At 34.9% G+C, this 24372-nt stretch overlaps 1 protein-coding gene and 1 long non-coding RNA gene across 7 annotated transcripts in view, besides 1 other annotated feature; one reads left to right on the top strand and one right to left on the bottom strand.

Annotated features, from left to right (window-relative positions):
* Positions 1-24372, bottom strand: part of LRRC7 (leucine rich repeat containing 7) — a 576443-nt gene that overhangs the window by 100778 nt on the left and 451293 nt on the right. For 5 of the 6 annotated variants that reach the window (NM_001330635.3, NM_001370785.2, NM_001366838.3 and 2 more), the window contains 6 exons: positions 22458-22582; positions 20213-20461; positions 15216-15416; positions 7355-7466; positions 6963-7143; positions 3794-5474 (listed from right to left, as the gene is read on the bottom strand). In NM_001330635.3, the coding sequence (NP_001317564.1) occupies positions 3794-5474; positions 6963-7143; positions 7355-7466; positions 15216-15416; positions 20213-20461; positions 22458-22582 (2549 nt within the window). The remainder of the gene's footprint in view (positions 1-3793; positions 5475-6962; positions 7144-7354; positions 7467-15215; positions 15417-20212; positions 20462-22457; positions 22583-24372) is intronic. The other variant, NM_001366839.3, reaches the window with a different exon arrangement.
* LRRC7-AS1 (LRRC7 antisense RNA 1) lies at positions 1328-7621 on the top strand. The gene is made up of 2 exons (NR_187366.1): positions 1328-1489; positions 4623-7621. It is a non-coding gene; the product is annotated as an LRRC7 antisense RNA 1 (long non-coding RNA).
* Positions 5089-5728: an enhancer, noted in NCBI's record as "NANOG hESC enhancer chr1:70503542-70504181 (GRCh37/hg19 assembly coordinates)". NCBI's record gives its function as "activates a minimal SCP1, AML or CMV promoter by ChIP-STARR-seq in naive and primed H9 embryonic stem cells {active_cell/tissue: H9 hESC(naive and primed)}" and the evidence as "EXISTENCE:reporter gene assay evidence [ECO:0000049][PMID:30033119]".

Below are 24372 nucleotides of genomic sequence, written 5' to 3'. Positions count from 1 at the left end.
ACCAGCTGCAGATCTTTGTTCTCTTTCACATTGTGAGATCATCACTTGTGAAAGACAAATATTAGTTTCTAATTTTGTCTTAAGCTAATGCATTGCAATGTTAAAGCCAAAATCAGTCTCCTTCATTGCTCAGTCTGTAGGCATAATTACAGCAACTCAGAAAAACAGCTGGTCAAAATGCCATTTGAGCTTACCATAGGCTTGATTGAACTTACTTATTAATTCAGCTAAACCAATCAAATACATTTTATGTGGATCCAAATATTCTATTTTTTGTTTCTTAAAAATTATATTTTAAACTAAAGAAATTTCATAGTAATATTAAAGCAATTATAATTTATTGATTTATTAATGCTAATTATCTAATATATACAAATACCTATAGAACACTCTGGTGGTATTTGCATTTAAGTGACTGATAGATAATTTTTTTCCTATAAAACTTTATTTGAAAATTAGATGTAAAATTTTAGATACCCTGTTATCAAATTGTTTGCACAGTACAATCTCCTCCTTCAATCTACAATGGAAATGTAATCATTGACAGCATTTGGCCCCTTTAAGTAATTCTCTCATTTTGGAAAAAAAAAAATCACAGAAGTTAACTTAGCACACTTTTTCTAAGCCAAATATTACTGAACATTAGCAGCAGGTAGCTATTCTATTCTGAGGGCAATATTATCAAAGTAATGATTTTTAGCATCAAAGTTTCATTGAGTGAAGCTGAAAGATTATTATCCTCCTGATGGTGTGCTTGTCTACCAATCATATTTGTTATGGATTCATTATTATTTCATATAGAGATTTTCCATTGTCACCATGCCAAAATTGAAAAAGACACTGAACATCTCAATCTAGCACTTGGAAAATTCCTTAAGGTTTAAAATTCCTCCAGTCTAGTGCTCTCTCAGCTTCTGCAGAACAGAAGCAGTCTCAGACATATGGGTTCATGTTTTAAATTCCCTGTCATAGTGTGGCTCTGCAGTGAAAGCATGGGTCTTGTGGTTAAACTAAAAGAGGAAACAAGCATCTTTTATCTAGGGTAGTTCTTGGAGCTGCCTCTTCAAGGTCAACACTTAGATCTTTCACCAACATTATGTTGAACTGTTATGCTTATCCAATGTCCAAGACTCTAGGCAATTGTCTTTTACGTAGAATGGACAGAGATCTTGTAATTTCTTGTGTAACTATTTGATTTTGAGGGTTCAAATGACCCAATTAAATTTCACTGGGAAAGAAGCACATTATTTCTCTGGTGCAGTCTGCCTTTGGACAGAATGTTAAGTAGCACAGCTATGTCGAAACTGGTTTTACATAATAAGTCTGTGCTTCAGTACCCTGAATTCATCTTGTTGAGTAGCTGGGAAGTTTTATGAAAGATATAGCCTGAATAGCTCAGTAACTCAACTGAAAGACAGAAAGAAATGTGACTTGGCGAAAACAAAAGAAAGAGCTTCTAGGATCTGATGACTCAAAGCAATACTCTAAGGTAAGTTAATTTCTTGGAATTAAATGAGAAGCTATTGAATGTACATTGAAATTGCTTTGAAAAATGAAAGACACCTAGGGAACTGTACACAAACAGAGGTTATATGAAGATCAACTCAGAAGGGAAGTGTCATCATAGCAATGAAAAATACATGAGTTTGCTTTTTGTTATCTGGGATAGGCAGGGCCTCCAAACTTTTGCTGATTCAAATCTCTCTCCCCTAACCCTATATTCCTGCTTAAAATTCTTGCTTCATCTAGAGGAGTCGCCCACTTTTCAGTCGCTGGGGTCAAAGGAGAGGAACCATTGATCTGGGACACCAGTAACTAAGTGATGGAACCAAATGCTTAGAATTTTATCTTTTCCTTTTCATTAGTTGTTTTCACTCATTCCTCTGTTGCCTCAAATTACTAGTCATTGTACATATGCTCCAAAAAGCTTCTTATAACCTTTCTTGACTAGTTCATCTTACCCTGTTACGTATGGTCGTGTCTACACGAGGCCAGAGTTCCCAAACTGTACTGTATTATTTGGCCCCAAATATTTTCGCCCTCCAAGTTATCTGTCTACATGGAGGGTATACTTGAGGTAAGGCATGGTGACAACCGACCAGGTGTCTCCCACTGACAGCCAGTCATGAGGCTTTGATGAGGCTCCCTTCAATGGGACTGAGCAAACCTATTTGAAACAGACATTCTGATGAAATATTTTGCAAGGCAGAACCAATTTCTACATTGAGAAACTAACACCCACACCCACATTTATTAGTTCACTCCTTCCCTAAAAAAAATTGTTTTCTTGTCATGTAGACACGACCTACAAGCAATATAATTATTTGAAAAGAGTAAACCTGTAAACGTAAAATTCAGTATTAAAGAAATACCTAATAAATGCAGTGACCTGTGCTTTTAGCAGGACACCAAATAAAATAATAAAACTATTGAGTGAGACAATGCGATAGTATATTATTACCCAGATCCCCAATTTACACTGAGCATTCAGCCCTAGAAAATGAGAACAAAAAGCCCCATTTTCACCAAAAAGATCTTTAAGATTCTAATGTCAATGCAGAGCACATTAAGCCCTCTACCCTAAAAGCCACAAAGTACACTGAATGACGATGGTCAATTGAAGATAGTTCTAGAAAATGAGTACAGGTTTCTCTTAGAGAGATTCAAACAGGCAACAAAATGTAATTCTAGGCATCATATGATTTTTTTTTCTGTCCCTGATCCCTGCATATTACATGCTTTATTGTGGACACAATTTATTTTTTTTTTCCCCAAGACAGAGTCTCACTTTGTCACCCAGGCTGGAGGGCAGTGGTGTGATCTCAGCTCACTGCAACCTCCACCTCCTGGGTTCAAGCAATTCTCCTGCCTCAGCCTCCCGAGTAGCTGGGATTACAGGCGTGCGCCACCATGCCTGGCCAATTTTTTTTGTATTTTAAGTAGAGATGGGGTTTTACCATGTTGGCCAGGCTGGTCTCGAGTTCCTGACCGCCCGCCTCGGCCTCCCAAAGTGCTGGGATTACAGGCATGAACCACCATGCCTCGCCTATTGTGACTCAATTTTTAACTGAACTAGAATTAATTTTCTTTTTTGCTGCAATATACATACTAATTTTTTGTTTGCTGTCTTCATAAAGACATCAACTATTTTTGTTGTCTGTAGTATAATCTGAATTTAAATATTTCTTTCTATATAAAAACCAACATTCTAAATGGCAGGCTTTTTATTAAATAAAATAATGTGTAGGAGGGCATTCAATCCCTGCTTATTTTTCTGTTTCTTGTTGGGAAAATTATTGCTCATTAGAAATAATAACTAGTAGTCCCATAGCAGTAACTATGTGCAAATTTTATAAACAAATTAGGCCTGACTTTAATATAAGTGAGTCCATCCAGAAACGGGGGAAATATCCACTTTTTATAGGTTCAACAAAAATCATACTCTTTAGGTCACTAGAGAACAGTTTTGCGTCCTAGGAGAGGCATTTTGCCTTAATGGCTAGAAAGCATTTGAAGCACCATCCCCTCTAATGGAGTTGAATTCTTTCTTACTAACAATATTTGGGTTAGATTTGATGAATAATTCACCTGCAGGTTATGAACTCTCAAAGAGCATTTAGCCACATCCATGAAAAACTATTATGATCCATTTTCCCCACAATATAAAGATAAATAAAATACTGATCATCTAATTCATTCATGTAGTTCATGCTTCACTACATGTGCTTAGAAATGCCAATAAAGTAACACTAAAGGCAGGAGGGATATTCTTACAGAGAAACACCAGACATACCCTGTCTAACCGTCTAGCTTCTATATGTCTAAGCAGCTGTTGTCTCCAGTCTGCAGGCATTTTACCACAGCTCTCCTCTCCCTTCACAGGAGTAGGCCTCGTCTTTAAATCACTGTTATCTGATGGCTTGTCACCATAGTTACCCAAGTTATAGTCAGATGGTATTTTTTCCAAAAGAGCTGCCATAGTAGGCCTAGCTGAAACTGGCCTGGTTTGGGAGGCACCGTAACTCTCTGTACTGTAGCTTCTCGCAGACAATGGCCTCCTTTGGGTAAGGTTTTTAACCGGAAAACTTCCCGCCTGAGCTTTCACTTCTTGATATGAAGGGTGTTCATCTTCATACCTGCCATTCCTTTTCAGGAACTGGGACTCAGTCACTGTAACGCTGCTTTGGCGATCCAGCCCTCCCCTATATGGGGGTCTGCCGTACCTATCAGTTGGGGGCAGCTCATGAGGCTCATTGACCCTTCTAAACATGGCCATTTCTGTGGCGCTCACCAGGGAGTCGGCCCTTCTCAGGAAGCCCGCCCTGGCCCCTTGGCTTGCGAACTGGGCATTCACCACAGCATCCTCATTCACAGATGGCTGAGAAAATGAAAACATTTGCTCCATCGGTGGGTATCCTCTGTAAGCTCTAGGACTAATCAAATCCTTGGCGATGTTTTTGCTGGCCTGTTGCACGTACTCGGGATTGTGTTGAAAAGGGGGTGGTATCCTCTTTTCGGCTTTCACTTCCACTGATCCTTGAGGATTGAAGCTTTGGTCAAACTGATAGACTTTTTTTGTCATAGAAGCTTTTTGTTGTTGTGGCCCCTTACTACTTCCGTAGGTGAGCATCTCATCATCCAGCATTGGGACTGACTGGCTTCGAGACATACTGGACATACCATGCTCTGGTCCCAGCATCTTATCCGGTCGTTCGTGGCTTCCTAAGTGATCACTCCCAGAAGCATAGTTTTCTAATGGTATGTTATACACCTTATATGTACCAATGTCAATCTCATCGATACTCTGTGACTTTTTGAATTTATTAGACTTGATATCTTTCATTAGGGGGGAAAGCCTCTCTGTGCTTTTGCTAATTGAAATAACACCTTTAGAAGATTCCGGGCGGCAGTGGATTTGAGAAAAGACATTACTAAGACTCCTGTTGGGATTGGAATCATGATACTCCCATGGTACGCCTGGAGAAAAAGGACTAGGTATTTCAGTAGATTCCTTTATATGTTCTTTCCTTTCAGGCAATGGGCTGGTAGTGGGGGTTGTCTCTAATTTGGAAGGAAAAGCGGTCCTGTCTTCAAACGGACTAGGGGTTCTGGTCCAATTCTGCCAAGGATTGGAAGGAGGCACTTCTGTTTCTGGTGTGTGTCTGTGTGTAGACTGCTCGAGTTCCAGGGGAACACCAACAATCCTGTCTTGCCTGATCAAAGGCCTGCGTCCATGCGAAGATGTGCTTCTAGATTTCGAACTTAAGAGAGGATTACTGTTGGCATTCTCGGCTGTGGTTTCCTCAGCAACAAACCCTGTGTTGTCATAATGCGAGCCATCAGTCCAGTTGTCAGTGAAAGTATCACTCATGGGCAGCCGGTCAGGACGCTGTGGTATATTGCCTGGGGGAACAGCCTCCCGCTGGCTGAGTAATGGCTTTGAATCAAGAGGCTGTGGGAAAGATGGTGCAATCCTGTGAACACAATGGGAAGAAGAAATTGAAAAGGACGAAGAGTTGGGTCTTTGGCAGAAAGAGAACAAGCAGCAAAGAGGGCCATCATCCTTTGTTTAACTGATCAATAATCCTCACCTGACTTATGATTAAGATAGTATTATTATTTCATATTTTAAAAATCCATCCCTTTATCCTGCTTTAACTTTTTTTTCCTAGTAATAATCACCTTCTAATATACTATATAATTTACTTATCTATTACGTGTATTGTATCTTGTGTTGTGTCCTCTGCTAGAATATAAACTCACAATGGTAGAGATCTTTTTCTCTGCAGGCCTAGACTAATGCCTGGCACATAGTAGGTATTAAATACACATTTGTTGAAGGAATCAATGAAGGAAATATGTAGTTCTTAAGTAATGGTCTTGAAACCTGACTGATAATTAGAATCATATGATTCCTGATACCCATTCCTGGAGATTCTGATTTGGTACATTTCAAACTATTGGCCGAGAGTACCTTTCTTACAAATGCTTGGTGTATCTGATGAATCTAAATTGTCTTCAGATGACTTTTATTTGAAGGTCAGGTTTTGAAGACACTAAATGCTATTGTATAGGGAGCATATTCAGGTATGTTTTGTAGAATGTAAATTATATTATGACTTTAGATCACTGACATGTTTGTACCACTGACCATGTTATTTCTAGCAGATACTGAGATAATGCAAATAATGAATTTACAAACTGAAAGAGTTATGATTTTTATTATGAGCATCAATGATTAGGAAAAGTTACTCATGAATTACTAAAGAAGACATTGCCAACAGTGGCAATATTATCAGTAAAATATGAGTAAAAGTTATTGACTACCTATATAACAATTTTAATTTGCTATTTGTAGTGTAAAACATAGCAACAAGTTACAAAATGGAATTAGAACTGGGAAAACATTGCCTTATTGAGTCACTTTATTGTGCTCTGTGTGTGGTTTTTGTTTTTTCATCTGTAAAATTAGAGTAATATAGAGGAGGAGGCATTTTGGAAAGATTAAGTACTTAAAAATACATCCTGACTTTTCCAGGTGGTGATAAAATTATGATGACGATAGCAATGAAAATTTATTGAACACTTACTCTGGACCAGACACCTAAGTGTTTTACTGGCATTTTATTTTAATTCATAATGCCATTTTGTATGTTAAAACATCCATGTCTCATCAATAAGTATCAGTGGGCAAACACATTTTTTTTTATTTTTTAAATTTTTTGTTCTACCATCTCATCCTGTTAACTCCTACCATGTCTTCCTTAACCAATGGCCTCTCCCTGTAAGGTGGATTCATCTGTTCCTGGCAGTCCCAGGCGAACAACATTTGCTTACCTGCCCCTTCTGTCTTCTATGCCACTTGTGTGCCGAATACAATTCCAAAATTAAGAAGATTCCATTTTTTAAAAAGTTGCTGAAAATAAACGTTTGGGAACAAAAGGAGGGAATTCTAAACACACCTGTTACCCCACAAAGAATTATGTACTGCATCTTTAGCTGTTGTCTGCAAGGACCCCACTTTAACCCGGGTATTAGAGGATCCTGAGGAAGCCTGGGAAGGCGAGTAGTCTGAGTAAGTGCCTGAGGAAACACTGTTATTCAGACAGTGAGTTTTGTCAACTTCAGACTCATCAGTTGATTCTGAAATTTAAAGGGGAAAATGTTATAATGCTATGACACTGACAATTACACGGAAAAGCAAGTATGAAAAATGGAAACCATACCGATTAAGGTTAGAAATGCATATTTGTAAAACATTTGTATAGAATATGGTGTATCATAATTTACAACTGGCGATTCATCATGCACATGCATTTGTAGCATATTTTCCACATTGGGTTCACAGTGTTACCTTTTTTGTCCTTCCCTAGCAGAACAAGTTTGGGTGGGTACAGAGGGGTCTCAGCTAATGAAGGGTGAAGTTCCCCAATCCTCATTTCATTAGCTGGATGAACAAAAGAATCCTGAGAGATATAATAATACAGGACAAGGAAAGTAAACATTTAAACAATGGTTAACCAAAGTGGCAGTATCTTTATTTGGCTCAGATTAAAAAATGTGACTCTAGAATTCAGTTCACTGTGAGGCACTGGGAGAAATAAACCATATGTATCTCTGAGTTAAGCATTAAATTTTTTTTTTCTAATGTAAGTGAGTCCATTTATTCATCAATTTTTCTTGCATGTTGTTTATATGCCTGGCACTGTGCAATGAACTGTGGAGGTTCCAAAGAAAGACAAAATGTGGCTGGTGCCCTCTGGGAGTTTATAATCTAGTTGGAGAGATGAGCTATAACTCATTAGAACACCAGACTGAATTATGATAAGCCATATATGAGCAGTATGATTCACACAAATATGATATATACACATGTAATTGTTCTAAGTGGTTAACTCTAAGAGTTTTAAGAGGAAAGTATATCACTGACCAATTAAGATTTTTTTTTTTTTTTTTTTTTTGTGCATCCCTAGCTACATTACTTCACTGTCGGGTCCTATAAATCCTGCTCTTCCCACCGCTTTCCTCCTAACTTTCTACTGTATCCCAAGTGATCATCTCCTCAATTTCTCAAGTTCTATCATGTGTTCTTCCAGAGGTTCCTGGTTTTCTCACACCTAATCTAGCATACTAAATCTTCATTCTATATCCCTTCTTTGAGTGTAACGAGCAACATCGATACACGACTATAACTTCATAATGACAAATAAACATGTAGAAAACCCAAGATTTTAAACTTCCACAATTCAAATTACTATTTTCAGTTAACCAGGCAGGGTGGAGAGCATTAGGGGAAGGTAAAATACCAAATTCTCACTTTCTTCTAGATATAAAAATGCATTATCTATGCCCATAAGTAGTGATATATATTTATGCATAGCAGCTATCGTTATGTCTTCTTTTCCCTTAAGATTAATTTTAATTCAAATGAGAATTTTTCAGCTTTTTAATTCATTAGTATCTTGTGAGTTTGGGGCACTAATGTAAAATATTTAGAAATATTTTGTTAAATCAGAGAAAAAAATATACTTGAGGACAAAAATATTGTAAATTTAAAAAGTCCTGTCTTAAAACTAATCGGTTGGTATAATGAACAGGCAGAAACTCTTACTATAAATTTTATATATTGCCAAGGACCCCCATAGTGACATGCTCAGGTCTTTGGTTATTGCAGAGAAGCACATCTTGGTTTAAGTTCTATCTTTTGGGATTCTTTTGGGTTAGGTTTGTATGGAAATATTTGCCTGAAAAACCTGGGTATATCTGTTACTTGTTAATTTTTTAAATAGAATATTTCAATAAAAGAAAAGGGAAAGATCATTTAGTCCAACACTTTTGTTTTCTAGAGGCGGGTTCTGAGACTCAGCTTAGGCCTAGGTTACACAGATGATTAGACGAAGATCCAGCACTGCAGCAGGATTCTCCTGGGCTCCATTCCAGTGATCTTTCCTTACCTTGTGCTGCCTCCTGGTGAGCTCAGCTGTGAGCACACAAAGAACTTAAAATGAGGTATCAGATTGCAAAGAGGAACAGGAAAAGGAGTAGAATGGAAAATTCAGTAGTTGAAGAGGCTATATTTGCTACTCAAAGGTGTTCTATGTGATACTGTGTATGCCATATTGCCTATCCTAAGTAAAGCTCATTTTTCACACGGGCTTCACAGAGGAAAGATAACTACTCAACAAAAGAAATTAATCGCTGACTTTTTTTTTTATAAATCCTTTTAAAGAGGCCATATTTTCTTTATTTTGATTGATTTTGAAAATTATTTCAGAGGGTACATATTATTCATTTTGATTGATTTTGAAAGTTAGTTCAAAGATTTAGCATAAGAAATGTATGACAGTTTTAAGGTGACAGAAGGGAGGATAAAAGCCTTTATATACCTTTGGAGAAATTTATAAGAAGATATGAGTTTGAGAAACAGTACCCTGAAAGGCATAAAATATGCTGACTTGCCAAAAAATTTGTTACAAGGTGTCATATTTTCATCCTATTTCTATTTTTATATTTTATTAATCAGGTCACCTTGGGCAAGTCAGTGTACTTCTCTGGGCATTATCATCATTAAAATAAAGGTAATCAGTAATAGGAATTAGTGCCAATTCCTGTCTAGTACTAACATTCTATGAATCTAAAGGTAAGTTATTTGTTGAAATAATAATTTAAAAATATTCCTATGATACCTAATTACAAGAATGGGAATTTTGTTTTATTCAAAAGAAAAACAAAAATAGAATAGAAACACAAAAAAGCAATCCAAATAGCTGTACAAGTACAGAATGTTAACATAATTATGGGTTTTGCTTTTTTCCCTTATGTTCTACACATTCAGTACTCAGGTCATCTTGTTTGTATTGATTCGACTTTCAAACTTGTATACCAAAATTATGACCGGAACTCTGCATGGTAGCTCTGGTTTGACTCAGGTTCAAGTTTCTGATCCTGTTTCAGAATTTCTATTGTGAATCAAAAACAGCCTTAGTGACCAGGAAGAGAGGATGATTATCAGCTAATTATGAACTTGTATTTCTTCTTAGAAGGACATTATTGAAACAAGAATGATGAATTTGCACTGATCTGAGTAGATTCTCTTACCCTTATGAACGAAGTGATGATGATGATGATGACAATGATGATAATGACGACAATGATGATAATGGCCATAAATTACATGGCACTGATTACATCTGCTGCGGTGCTACTATGCTAAACACTCTATCTATATTATCCTTGTTAATTATTTAAAAGACAACCTTATTTTTTATCATTATGTGGTATTTATTTATTATCATCATTTTTTGTTCTGCAGATAAGGAAATGGAGGCTCAGTGAGGTAAAATCATAATTCTAAGTCACAAACCTAATAAGTGGTAAAGCCAAGATTTGAACTGGGATCTGCGCTACTCAAAGATCTATGTGATACTGTGTATGCTGTATTGTCTATCCTGAGAACAGCTCATTTCTCACATGGGTTTCACAAAGTAAAGTTAACTATCCAACAAAGGAAATAAATCACTAATTTTGTTTCTATAAATTCTTTTATAGAGGCTAGAGGAATTGAGTTCCTTTTGGAAAAGTGGGCAAAGTTTTGGGGACTACTTCTACGGGCAATGACAGAGGAAATTTTTGGTAGAAAACAGAATTTAGTGGGGATTCCATTGTAAGTACATTGAACCATATTTTCTTTCTGGTGAGGAGACAGAAATGAGAGGGAAAGAAAAGGTAAAATGTCCTTTTTCTCACAATTGCCCTTCCACTGTTCAAACTGCATCTTGGCTGCTACTGCCATAAAGAAAAGAAGCCTCAGGAAGAAGTCAAAGGAAAGAAAGCAAGCTTATTTCTGAGCTTTTGAGAGTCTAGGCCTAGCATGAATAAAAGTAATTTAAGGAAAATTTTGAGGGTAATGGACAATTCTCTGTTACTGGAAGAAAGATGTTCCTCTATAGAAAAAAATTGGGCTGAGTCCCCTAACAAAGGGAAAAATGCAGAACATTTTGGGATGGTGAACAGGTATCTTGGTAGTTACTTGCAGAAGGATTAAAGGAGGATGGGGAAGGAATTGGCACATAATTCTCTTGAAAAAGAAGAGGGAATTATTTACTGTAGGCTTCCTCTGTGTCAATAACTGTGCTTGGAGCTGTATATAAATAGGTGTTACCATATTTTCTGTTTTGTGCTTTTTTTTTTTAAGATAAAGAAACCAAGGATCAGAAAGGTTTTAGAGACTTGACTTGTCAAGGTCACAAGGTGGAGCCAAGATTTCAATTCATGTCTGCTAGATTTAAAAGCCCTACCCCTTGATTCTCAAACTGTACTCTGAGGCACCCATGGGTGTTGTTGCAATTAACAGGGACACTGTGAGTTACATTAAATGTTTGAGGGAAACAAAGCAATAATTGACATTAGACAGACACTGTGCAAATGGCTAGCTTGAGGTAGCTCTCAGTTACAACATTAGATCGCACATTCTTTTTGATGAAAATCCTTGGCCGGGAGCGGTGGCTCACGCCTGTAATCCCAGCACTTTGGGAAGCCAAGGTGGGTGGATTATGATGTCAGGAGATCGAGACCATCCTGGCCAACATGGTGAAACACTGTCTCTACTAAAAATACAAAAATGAGCTGGCTGTGCTGGCACGTGCCTGTAATCCCAGCTACTCAGGAGGCTGAGGCAGGAGAATCGCTTGAACCAGGGAGTCGGAAGTTGCAGTGAGCTGAGATCGCACCACTGCACTCCAGCCTGGCAACAGAGCGAGACTCCGTCTCAAAAGAAAAAGGAAAAAAAAAAAAAAAGAAAATCCTTGTGAAGCTGGGTTTTTGGTGGTTGCTGTGATAAAAAACCAAGTGGCATTTGAAAATCAATGATAAACAGAAATTAAAATTGTGGTGTCTACTATGATTCCTAGCTGTGAGAAGATAGGTGGTGTTTAACAGGTGCATGTATGCCATTAATATTTTGGCTTTGATTTCTTAAGAATAAGGTAAAAATATTATTTTCTCTTTCAACTTATGTGCATTGATTTTTTCAAATGACCACAAAGTAGGGCATAAATATTTACTAAGCTGTTTGGCTATAACAACTTAAATGAAACTCCTAGGTATTTATTTTGGTCTAGGATCACCATAACATCACTGAGACGCTGTGGGCATTTATATACCAAGAGTGTATTGAACACATAGGTGATGAAGTGTGGATAGGTATCAATTAATTATTAATTCAAAAAAACTCAGAAATTGTCCTTGATTTCAATGAATATCTAATTGAATGGAGAGACAGACATGTTACCAGAGTCATTATACTGGACTATATCAATCATTCATTTATTCAACAAATATTTATTTTGCTCCTACTCTATCCTAGGCACTGTGCTAGACTCAGGCAATACAAGGATGGACAAGAAAGAAAGCATCCCTGCCTTCATGAAACTCACAGTCTGAAGTCAATAAACAAAGTAATCATAACTGTTCATTATATTTAATGTGACAATGTGACATGATAGAGGATATCAGAGGGTCCAACTGATCAGAGTGATCAGGGAAGGCCTTCCTGCTGAGGTGGCCTTTAAGCTGAAACTTGAAGGATGAGGAAGTGCTAGCCATATAAAGAGATCTGGGGAAAAGGCAAATGCAAACTGCACAAGGCATTATAAAGGAAAATCTCCCTGTCCTCCTTTTTCTTATGGCTCCGCCAGCCCTGTTCTTTGTCTGGCATAATGTATGTTAAAACTATTGGCATCTAGTTGGCAAAATGAAAGTGAGCAATAAATATTTACCTTTCCTTTTTCCCCTTAGTTGCATTTGTAATCTTTTTACCTTATTTATTTTTTCCGTTTTCCACTTCTGGTCATGCCTACCTTTATTCTTTTTTTGGGGGTTTTCTATATTTAATCACATGAATAAATATATCATGCAGTGTATAATACCCTCTTCCATATCCTTTGCAGTGTGAACTAATAACAATGATTCAAAAAATGGCATAGAAGTGCAAAACATATTATAAATGTTTAGTATGCACTGATCAGCTAAATGCTTGGTTATCTGCATTTATTAAATCTGGACATTGAAAAATAGAGTGTGACCCTTTACTTTGGCTGCAGTTAATTTGAGGCAGGAGGATAATACAGAAAGCAACAGTTCCTCTTTGCTGTAGGATGGTTAAAAGTTAGAGAGAGAAGATCTAGAATCTCAATTTTAGATAAAGTATTGAAATTACCAGTGAAATTTCTGTTCAAGAGGAAAAGACTAGTAGAAGAAAGCTAGGAAAGGGGTGGTGCAAATCACACAGACAAATTTAAAGCTGAAAGTTGAGCTTTAATCTTAGCCTTAGCAATAAGAAGTCACTGTAGTGTTTTTAAGGAGGGCAAGGAAATGATTAGAATTCTTTTTTAGAAAGATCATTGACAAGGCAATGAGGAGGCTGGGGACAAGGGAAGCCAAAAAGTGGGTATTTTTTTATAGTAATGCAGGACAGAGTTGAGGGCTTGAGGAGGTAGAAATGATACACTTAGGTGAGAATGCACAGGCTTTGGTAATTATTTGGAAGAGATAGGAAGTGGAGAGAAAGAAGGAGAAAGAAATCAGGACATCTCTCGAATTTCTACTTGAATGAAATGGAGGATAATGGTGCCAGTGAGATCAAGGTCAGGAACATGAAAGCAAAAGCAAGTTTGCAAAGGAAACATTAAATCTAATTTTGGATTTGTTATGCTTGACCTGATTTTGAGACAGTTTTAAGATTTATTATTAAATTCATAACCAAAGTCTCATCTATCCCATCCCTACATGAAGACATTTTAGACTCTTATTTTATAGTAAAATTATCCAGTTTATAGATTTTCATGACCACCAGTTATTTTGATGTTAAACTGTGATTACAGGATATTTAAATATAAAACGTATATGTATGTATTTAGTGTGTATCTGCTAAATGTTGGTTTCCTTCCCCTTTATATTGCAGCGAGATCTTTGAGATAAAAGAACAGTCTGTTGCTTTACTATAATATGTGCATAATATTTTGGAAAGGAAAAAGTATAATGATACTGATTTTATAAGCAAAAAACAATGAAAATGAATGCTAATTTTTTTTCCCTTAGAAATCTAGCTGTATTCCCCTCCTCTAGGGTAGGTTGGTACCTCTGCTGGCAGATGTGCACACTATGCTTATTTTTGCTCAAGATCTTCCCTTTGCTTGGAATGCCCTCCTCCCTTTTCCTCTTTAACAGAATCACCCTACCTTTAATATACAGTCTAAACTAAACTTGGAGCATTATATTCTCCATCACTCAACTAACCATGTGATCATATTTTAGATAATATGCTCTTTAATTGTTTCATGTGTCTTAAGTGTATCAGCTTTAAATTATTGGGGTATTATTGACACATTTTATATTTCTTTTCTCTCTCTCACAGTGTTTGGCACAGTGTTACATATGCAGTTGGTGTTTAATAAATGCAACAAAATGATGCTCTGAAATGCAGATTTGTAAAAGAGTTTTGCCACTCTAGATTTTGGAGAAGTAGTTACGTGAACTTACAGATGTACTCAGATCAATTATGTTTCTAATGAAGATAAAAATATGATAACCAAATTAGCTGAAGAGTTGATGAAATAGTAGAGGTGGCATAAGTGTAGTTGAATTCTTTTCAGACCACAAAATCAATAAGGATGGATTTCTAACTCATTCTAAAATATAGGAATTAAGCTTCACATGACTAGATTCCATAAATCTAAATTTCAAAGTTATGTCCTCTTTTTATTGTTAATCGGTGTTTCCTAGAAAAGTTGTAACCCAAAGATAAAAACATTTTAAAAATTGTGCTCTAGATCTAATTAGGAATTTTATGAGATTTGCATAATAGAAAACCTTGGATTAGTCTTTCTTAATGATTAATACAACAAAAGTTTGGGGTAGCCAAAATAATGTCACTAATATGATATAACGCACTCACTGGCCAGGCCTTGCTGGGTGACGAACTTATTCATTCTGTGTGTATTGGAACTTTTGGAGCTATGTTAATGATTTTAGGCCATGAGGGTATCATTTTTCTATGACTGATTAAATGCAACCCTCATAGTTTGAAAAAGTAGAGAGATCATTTATATTTTAGGAAAAAAATGCACTTATCAAGGAAGATCTATTCAGTTAAAAAACATATTTAAAATTCCAAAAAATCCAAACCACACTGGCAATTACCAATAACCTTCAAATACCTCCACTGTAATCTCCTTTGGGGCTACCGGCCACTTGTGTTCATATTTTTCTTTCACAGTTTGCTCCGTGTTAGCAGTTGGATTTGAATTCTCAACACGCACTCCATGGCTTGGCTTACCCACCAAATTTTGAACAGATTTTACCATATTCTTTAAATCCTCTGGGTAAGGAGTTGGATATCGTTTTAGGTTTATTTCAACCTAGAAGTTTACAAAAAGAAATTTAACATAAAAATAACTTCAGCAAGCATGTTCACAAAACTATCCCATTTTATATTCAGTAGTATAATCAAATGCAATACAGTGAGTGTTGAGCTGGCTGAGAAACTCTGTTATAGAGTAGGACGCATAGTGTTCTCATATTCAGCCTTCTGGGACTTCTCACCCCTTCCCACCCTTCTAGATTATAAACTAATTTTGAATCATATTCTGTCTTTAGACCTACCCTATAGATGGCTGAAATAGCAGTAGGTCAAAACACTTAAGTGATTGGTAATTTGAAAAATTTAATCAAGTTATAGCAGCTGTTTTCTTACTTTAGACACTGTTCTCTTCCCTATTTTAATATTTATAAGTAATAATGTTGATATTAAGAGTATCTTTTGAGTAGCAATGCAGCTGATGGGAGGAGACCCCAAAAGCTTTACAAGTAGAGTTGCATGTTAAAAACTGGGGAGTTGACAATATCTGCTGCCTAAATAGGCATTAGCCTTCTGTTAGTTAGTGTGTTATATCAAAAGGTAGGATAGCTAATTCTCATTAATCCCTAAGGGGAAAAAATGCTTCAGGGTGGTTTTTATATTTACTTTTTACCCTAAGAAAGTAACATGCTTCTTGAGTAATATCTTATAATGAAGAGAAATTAAAAATTGGGACCACTTTCTAAGATATTTTAGGTACATGTGTAAAATTTGGCTTTTATCTATCCAGCTACTTATTTCCATTCTTGAATTCATGTTAGGTTATCAATATAACTTTTGGGAACACATGTTAATGACTATTCTTAGCATTAAATTTAGAGGGAGAAAATATGAGACATTCCATATAGAATATTTCATCATCACGGTACTTGTTATAATATATTTAAAATAGAATAAGTACAAGTTGTGCATGCAAATTAAAAGGGACTGGGAAAAAAAGGATTTACTTGGCCTGGCTTGTTCCAACAATACTGTTTTGCATCTGAGTAGAATCAACTTTACAAAATGAAATGATTTATGTGATTGTGGTAGGTATGTATCTGTGGAAAGTGTGTGTGGGGGTGGGAGGGTATGAGGAGAGAAGGTGAAAGAGAAGCAGTGAAAGGAAGAGGAAGATCGGAAAAGGGAGAGAAAGAGTGAGGGGCACATCCGCACCCACCCCCACACACCCATGTAATTCATGGGATGTAAGAAACTATGATGGTGATATAGATCTGAAAACTATGAATGTGAATTCAAACACTTTTGCCCATCTGCAGTTTTAGCAAATCCACCAACTGTGTTATTCTTCTCGACATTTTGTCTTCCTTGTGGCTCATTTTTTCTCATCAAATACTAGAATTGGACTTCACTAGATGACTTCTAACATTCCTTTTAATATTAAAGATATAAAATTATTATTCCAGTAAATATTTGGAAAACAAATGAAAAACCAGATAATTTTGTTAATGTAAGTGCTGTTTAAATGTAGTTTAATCTCTTTAAACTCTCAAATAAATAAGGATGACATTGATAATATATAGAAATATAGCTACAAAAATATAACCCAAGACAAAGTTAGAATTGACAGAAAAAAAAGTGTAAGTTGTTAGATTGTAGTATAAATAAGTCCCAGGGTACTTAATTTGTAATGTATTCTTAAATAAACATAAAAGGAATGATATGACTACTAGACAAAGTCCATTGGGATGCATGCATTCTTAGATCTGTTGTTTAAGTTGGTATTAGAAATGTTAATCACAAATTAAGTATAATTTTTAAATTGTATCATTGAACTTGTTTAAAAGTACTTGACATCAAAGTGCTAGAAGTAAAAAAAATTACATTAAAAATGTAAGTTGTAGAATGCTATGACTATCATGCCAATTAAGAACATTTTATTTTTTATAACCAGCTGTATGTGAATAAAAAATAAGCTAAAGTAGGGCATTAAATTAAAATTCTATGCAACTTAAAAAATCCCCAACACTAAAACTACACTTAGAAATTGAATGGAAGGCAAAAGAAATGTGAAGTGTTCTTCCTTAACTGAATTAAATACTTCATTGAATAATGTAATGTATTTTTTGTTAGATGCTGTGTCCCATCTGACACAATTAGATCACTATTTGGCATGGTACTAATATTTTCTGGTTATTTTATAAGCAAGCACATGTGATATTTTGGTCACATCCCCAGAATATGTTTGAATATTTTATTCCTGTGACATTTAAATCTAGAAATAGATTTACTATGCATTAATGAAGCTTAAGCTACACACCTCTTCCAAAGTCTTGTGAGGGACCCTATTATTTACATAGTCATTTTATATTCTTTTTCTGAAAGAGGACCCCCCCCCCCTTAAATTGAGGAAGTTCCAGGTCTTATAAAGCTTGCATTTGTTTCACCTAAAAAATAAGCTCCTTGCTTCTCACTTACTAGCCTACTAGCAGAATTTACTGGCCTTGGAGTCAGAAGATTTAAATTTAAGAAATAGATTTATTCCCAACTAGCTATCATCCACTAATCTTTCTGTTGTTTCTACTCATGTAAAATGGAAATGATAATATATTTCCTACAAATTTGAGTTAATCCGGAGCTAAAATGTGAAAAATGTGAAAGTTCTTGGAAAATCTGTAAGTTCTATGCAGAGATGAGATACTACTTCTAATGTCACATTTTACTTAATGTATTTTAAAAATCTGGATTCCTTTGGTGATCTTGACTCTACTCTGTATATGTCTAAACATAATATCTGTAACTGTCTGGATCTTTTTTCAATTATACATAGCAACAGTTATTTAATTCAGTATCTCCCATGTTCCAGTCACCATGATAAATGTTTTACAGGGATATTTAATTTATTATTAATTATTTACATAAACATTATTATTAATTCTATAGGTTTAAATATAAATTAATATTTATACACTAAAAATAAATGATTAATTATTAAATATTATATAATTAATCATTATAATAAAATCTCACTTAAGTTTCACAACCCATTGCAGCAGCTGTTGCCACTTTACAGAAAGAAAAGTGTGGCTCAGACCATGTAAGTAACTTGCCTAAGATTACATAGCTAGTAGATGCAATATTCAGACTTAGGTCTTTTGACTCCAGTGCTTATGCTACACAAGTGTTACTTAGCTCAGAGTGTGGGTGCAGCACATATTTGTACAATATTGTGGAAGAAATACTGTAAGTTTAAAATGTGAATTTCTCTGAGTTAAATGGCAAAATAATTTCTATTTTTTTAAATAAAGCTAAGTAACACAATATTTTATAATTTTTAAAGATGAAACTATAATTTATCATTGTATTATGTTTGGAAGTTCTATGCAAGCATATTTTATGCCCATTTATAGATTGCTTTGCTTTATTTTTCATTGGGTATATGCAGTGCATCAGAAGTGAATAAACATGATCATAGACCCAGTTATACTAATAGTTAAGTAATACCCAAATATAAGAGCAATTTCTGTATATATCTAAATATATAGACTATAAATGTTCTCTTATTCCAGCATGAGATAAAATATATAAATTCATTTATTATACACATAGGTAGGAAAATCAATTATATTCTTGCAAAACTGTGTTGTGTTGATCACTCACTATAAAGTATTTGCTCAGTTCACATATACATTTTATTAAAATGCAAGATTTTTACTAAAATATTACTTTAATTTTGAAAAAAAGAAATGTTTCGCAACATTCTTTGTATCTTAGATGTAAATAAAGTGCAGTAAATGCAAATAGCAGCTGCAAGATGTTGGAGACCCCCAAAAATTTAGCAATAAAGAATCACTTAAGGTTAATAGCTAGGGCATTTAGAAATGATATCTTGAATTCACACAGAACTGTTTTTTAATATATTATAATATATTATGTAATATAATATATTTCACATCATGATCAAATTCTAATTTGATTTGATTGTAAATTCCAGTAAGAGAAATATTAGTTAATACTTTGATCATTGATTGTTAAATATTATATTACTTCGAGAATTAGTTGGAATGTTATACAAAGAAAAGAAACTTATAGCAATTTTAGTTAGGAAAATGCATTCTCAGCTTGCCTTATATTGTAGCAAAAATATAAGACAATGGATAAGTATCTAGTCCATTACATGTGGATAGTAAAGTTTACAAGACATGCAGTGTTCTTTCATATTCCAGTAAGACATGTTTTTCCCCCCATTAACCTCTTAAAACACCCAACCACAGAGATAAGGAAGCCCTATTTGCCACAACTCCCAATTCAATCTTCTCTTACAGGAATTCATACGATTTGTGTCTTCAAATTAAAGGAAATTGATGCTTTTCAACAGATGTCTATCTTTGTGCTTAAAGGCCACTCTCAGCAAATCTCAATTTAAATCTGATGCTATTTTAAGAATTAAGTTTTAGCTATTTAATCTCCCCCAGAATTCACATTATAAAAAATGTGCATATATGTGGAGGAGACAATTTAGAATGTATCAATAGTGTCATCAACATTCTGCCCAACTATTGGTATTCCCACACTTTAAATTAAAGAAAAAAAAAAGCACCCAACTCAAAAACCATGCCAGATATCCCACCAATAGGCACCTCACATTGATATTCCCTCCCCTCTGACTTAGTCCTCCCCACCCCATTGCCAATGTCAATAAACAAAATGTTAAATTGAGATAAAACACTGGCAATTTGAAGGTTTCTATGTGATCAACATTTCTTACCCCAAATCATGCAGAACATACCCCATAAACCACTGTTCCAAGGTTGCCTCTACATGGGAGATTCTCCTACCCCAGACACCTAGGCCTACCTGTCTGCCACTTAGAGAGGGAAGAGTGGTGGATTGTGCTGCAACTGGCAATGGAGTACACATGCTCCTTTCCTGCTGGAGGCCACTTATACAACCCCATGCCAGCTGTGGGTCATTCTGGGGGACGGGCATATCTTGGATCTGCTGATCACACCTGGCCCATGGTGTGCAGCAATCGCCAGACAGTCTGGCAGGTTGGAGAGTAATCCCACGCTGGCCCCTTTCCCAGGGGGCTTGGCAGGAGAGATCCTGTGGGAGAAGGAATCTCCATTTTCTGGGAGAAAGAGGAGCACTGTAGCAATACTTTCACTTTATCATTTTTCTACTCTCTTTTTCTTTCACTCTGAGTTATGCATTTAAAATAATGATCATAAAGTTAGTTTTAAATCCATGTATAAAACAGTACTAATTTTATATGATGCTAAAGGGTCACAATTTCTTCACACAATGCAGCATTCATACTACACTATACAGACTGTAAGTAGGGCATTATACTCTAGTCCATTTGAAAGTTGAAAGCATAGGTCAATGGTTCCTTTTTAAATTTCATGTAAATTAAAGGTAAAATGGTGCTGAATTTAATGTACATGTAATGAACCAGAAAAGTGTGATTTAGTGTAAGATTACAATATATTCTATTCATCATACTTCCATGATGATTTATTTAGAAGTTCGTTTGTGCTCTAATTTGTCCAATAGCCAATGGCATTGGAAATATTCAAATTAGTCAAAACTGAGTAGTTTGAGATTTTGAAACACACATTGTTTCATTAATACATAAATAAACCAAATGTAAATACAGAGAAAAAACACTCTAAAGTATAATGAACCTACTCTGATTATAAACAAACTTGAACACATAACACACAAACAGGGCTTCTAAATAACTGTAAGTATTTACTATATTTTACGTTTTCATTGACACATATACCAGAGTATATTAAATGCACTTTCTTCTTGCATTCTTTGAATACAGAATTTCAGGAAGAAGCATGCAATTTTTGGTAATTCAATGAAATATAAAGATGAATCAGAAGTCCGGTATAGAATGCATCATCCATTGGTTCTGGATTTAACATACAAAATCCGTAAAAGAACTGAAATGTTCTGAAGGTATGTTTTCAGTTTAGCATTATTTTTTCTAGGAATTCACAAGTTCAAAAAGATGTCTCTTTGGTTGTTAGACAGCACTAATCAACTATCTAGAGACATTTTTTTTAAAACCCAAATCTTTAACAAAATTGTTATTTTGGATTTGGGAATCCATTTTGGGTTCTCCGTAACGATATTGGTAGGCCTTGCCAGTAAGTGCTCATGTGCTGATTTAAGAAATAAAGTTTAGAAAATGTGGAAAGGAGAGGACAGAGACAAACATAACACACAATCTAGCTTTATTAATAGAACACATATGCAATTATAAAGGTAATTAGTCACTAAGAGTGAGAGCTGTTAGTAGCCATGATAGAAAAAGTACACATACAATGTTATAAAAAGTAAATGAGAGATTCAAGATGTTGCCATGCCAACATGAAAATGTGATGTTGAGAAAATCTAAATCAATTCTGATGATAATTAAAAATGTAAGTAATGGAGAAATACATATTTTAAAATTCAATCTTGTTACTTGACCTAGTAGTCCCTATAAAAGATCTTTTAAAACATACTTTGAGGTAAAAAAAATTGAAGTTATGTTCCCTAAGGAACATCACCTGCCATTAGGCACTAATCTTCCTTAAAATTTGTTCTCATATTTAAGGAAACTCATAAATTCTTCTTGAATAGCCCAAGGACACAGAACTTTTCAGAGATTTTAATGCCAATGTAACATATTAATCTGTTGGCCCTTCCAGAAATGTTTATTTTGGCCTTATTCAGTCTGCATGACGCTTTGCTCAGTGATTAAAAAAAATCATCGTAGTGTGTAGCATGTCAACAATGAAATAAGGTTCTTAGATGAAGTCTATCACACAGATTTTTTTTTCTACTTTCCCTCAGCTTGAATCTCTCTCATGCAGTTATTCTGTTGGATGAAGTGGCATTTCAAATTTGCTCACTCAGATTTGGGACATTAGTCTCATTCTGAAGCACACCAATGCTTCCAGAACTACCAGCATGCTGTAATGAAAGGTACCGCCATGAGACTTGAAGAAGTATCTGACTTTGTCCCAAAATCTATCTGAATAAGAAAAACGGACAAACAAAAAGATAAGGAGAAGAAAGAGGAAACAAAAGCTAAAAGGTTCACCTTAACTTTCCCAGCATTTTCGTCATCTTCTTTTTTGTCTTCAAATTCAAAGGCAACAGTCATGCGTTGTTGTCTCTGCTCTTCCCACAGTGTAGGGTTAAAGCTGTCACTGTCTGACTGGAAATCTACAGTTAGATTCCAAAGTATTATTGTTTTTTTAAAAAACAATTTTACACAAAGTATTTAATATAGTATGCAAAAATGGTGATAGATACTACAAACAAATACGGAAATAAAGAAGAAAGAAAGAAAAAAAGAAAGAGAAAGAAGGAAAGAGAAAAGAATAAAATTCCCTTGATATTTATTACATGGTCTTTTGTAATCTTAACTCAAATTCAGTATTCCTAAAATACTCAGGATCGGGAAATTTTCTAGTGTAGGAAATGGGGTCCCCATAGGACAATAATAATAATATAGAGAGTTAGACCAAGCATTTTAAAGCGTTATCTTTTTCAATCCTTACAACAACACAATGGTATTACTAATCTCATCCTTACTTTACTAATGAGTTTTAAGGGACTTGCTCAAAGTGTTAAGAGACTTCTCAGTGGCTAGTGCAGGATTCTGTTCCTGTCTAAATAGAATCCTTATTTGTAACTGCTAAACTCTATACAAATTTCTTTTATAAAAGTTACCACATAACATTGACTTTGCAATAAGGTATCTAAGATTGCAACCTTTTCCTTTTATTGTGGGGTCAATGAGGGGAGCTTGTTTTTTGGTAGAAAACGTGGAAAATTTAGTCTGTTGCAGTTAGTTTAAATATGTCAAATTAACAGGGAAATGGCTTATGAATCTTTTTTTTACATAAAATGTTGGCTAATGATAATATCTTCTTTGCAACATTATGGCAAAGATCACATGAAAATGCAATAAAAGTACTTAGTTAAGGCTAAATTCTTTTCCAAAGGAGGTCCTTTATCATATATGTCTTTCTTTGTTACAAGGGATTCTGAAAACTCATTTATTACACTCCTGCCTGGAAAACCAAAGGATGACTTAATTTAAGTTCGAGGAAACTTTTCAATTACCAACCTTTCTTTTCTCAAAGAAAAAAACAAAAACAAAAGCAAACTCAGCTAGGCTAATTCCTTAACACTACACCTTACCTAACTGAATCTACCTTGGGACAAATTAGGGATTCAATCTGTGAGATCATATCTCAGAAATGACCAGTGAATATGAGATACTTTTCACTTTTTCCCTATATTCTTTTGAAGTTAAATATTTTGATAATGTAGAGCTATTAAAATGAAAATATAAGTAAAGCTGCATGAATATAACATAATCCTTACTTAAGATGTCTCTTATAAAATGTGTAAACATGGTGGTTTTTCTTTTATCAATTCAAAAGGTTAATTTTATTGACTTATAAAAATACATATTAAAACAATCTTTTCTTTTCCTACTTCTGTAGACAAAATTTAAAGAAAAATATCCTAAAATATTCCAAAATGATTCACTTACATTTGGAGGTCAAAGACTAAAGTCATTTATTATAATTATCCCTGGAAATAAGAAATACATAAACAAATGGTTTCTTTTACAAGTTGGCCTCATTCACATGGATTGAGTAGATTTAATCCATGGCTGGATTAAAATAAGTTTACTCTTCCAAGAATTATTGTTACTCCATAACTATAGAAAATGTTCATATCAGCTTGTGTTGGCTTGGGCTAAGGAGCCTATGCTAAGTTTCAAATAGCAAAGGACAAAAAGCTCTTTTAACCTTTTTAAATGAATAATGTGATCATAGAAGAGAAGATTTAATTATTGAAAAAGGATTTAGGGATATTGGTTAGGGAAACTCAACTTGAAAAGAAAGAATGGTCTTATTTGCAAGTATCTATTTATGGTTGACTTAGACCATGAAATAATTTGAGTCCAGAGATCATTGGACTAGATGTTTAAATTG

This window comes from Homo sapiens, chromosome 1 (genome assembly GCF_000001405.40).
Source record: "Homo sapiens chromosome 1, GRCh38.p14 Primary Assembly".
In the NCBI taxonomy this organism is placed as follows: domain Eukaryota; kingdom Metazoa; phylum Chordata; class Mammalia; order Primates; family Hominidae; genus Homo; species Homo sapiens.
The sequence above is the reverse complement of the archived record's forward strand: the minus strand, read 5'-3'. Positions and strand labels throughout refer to the sequence as shown.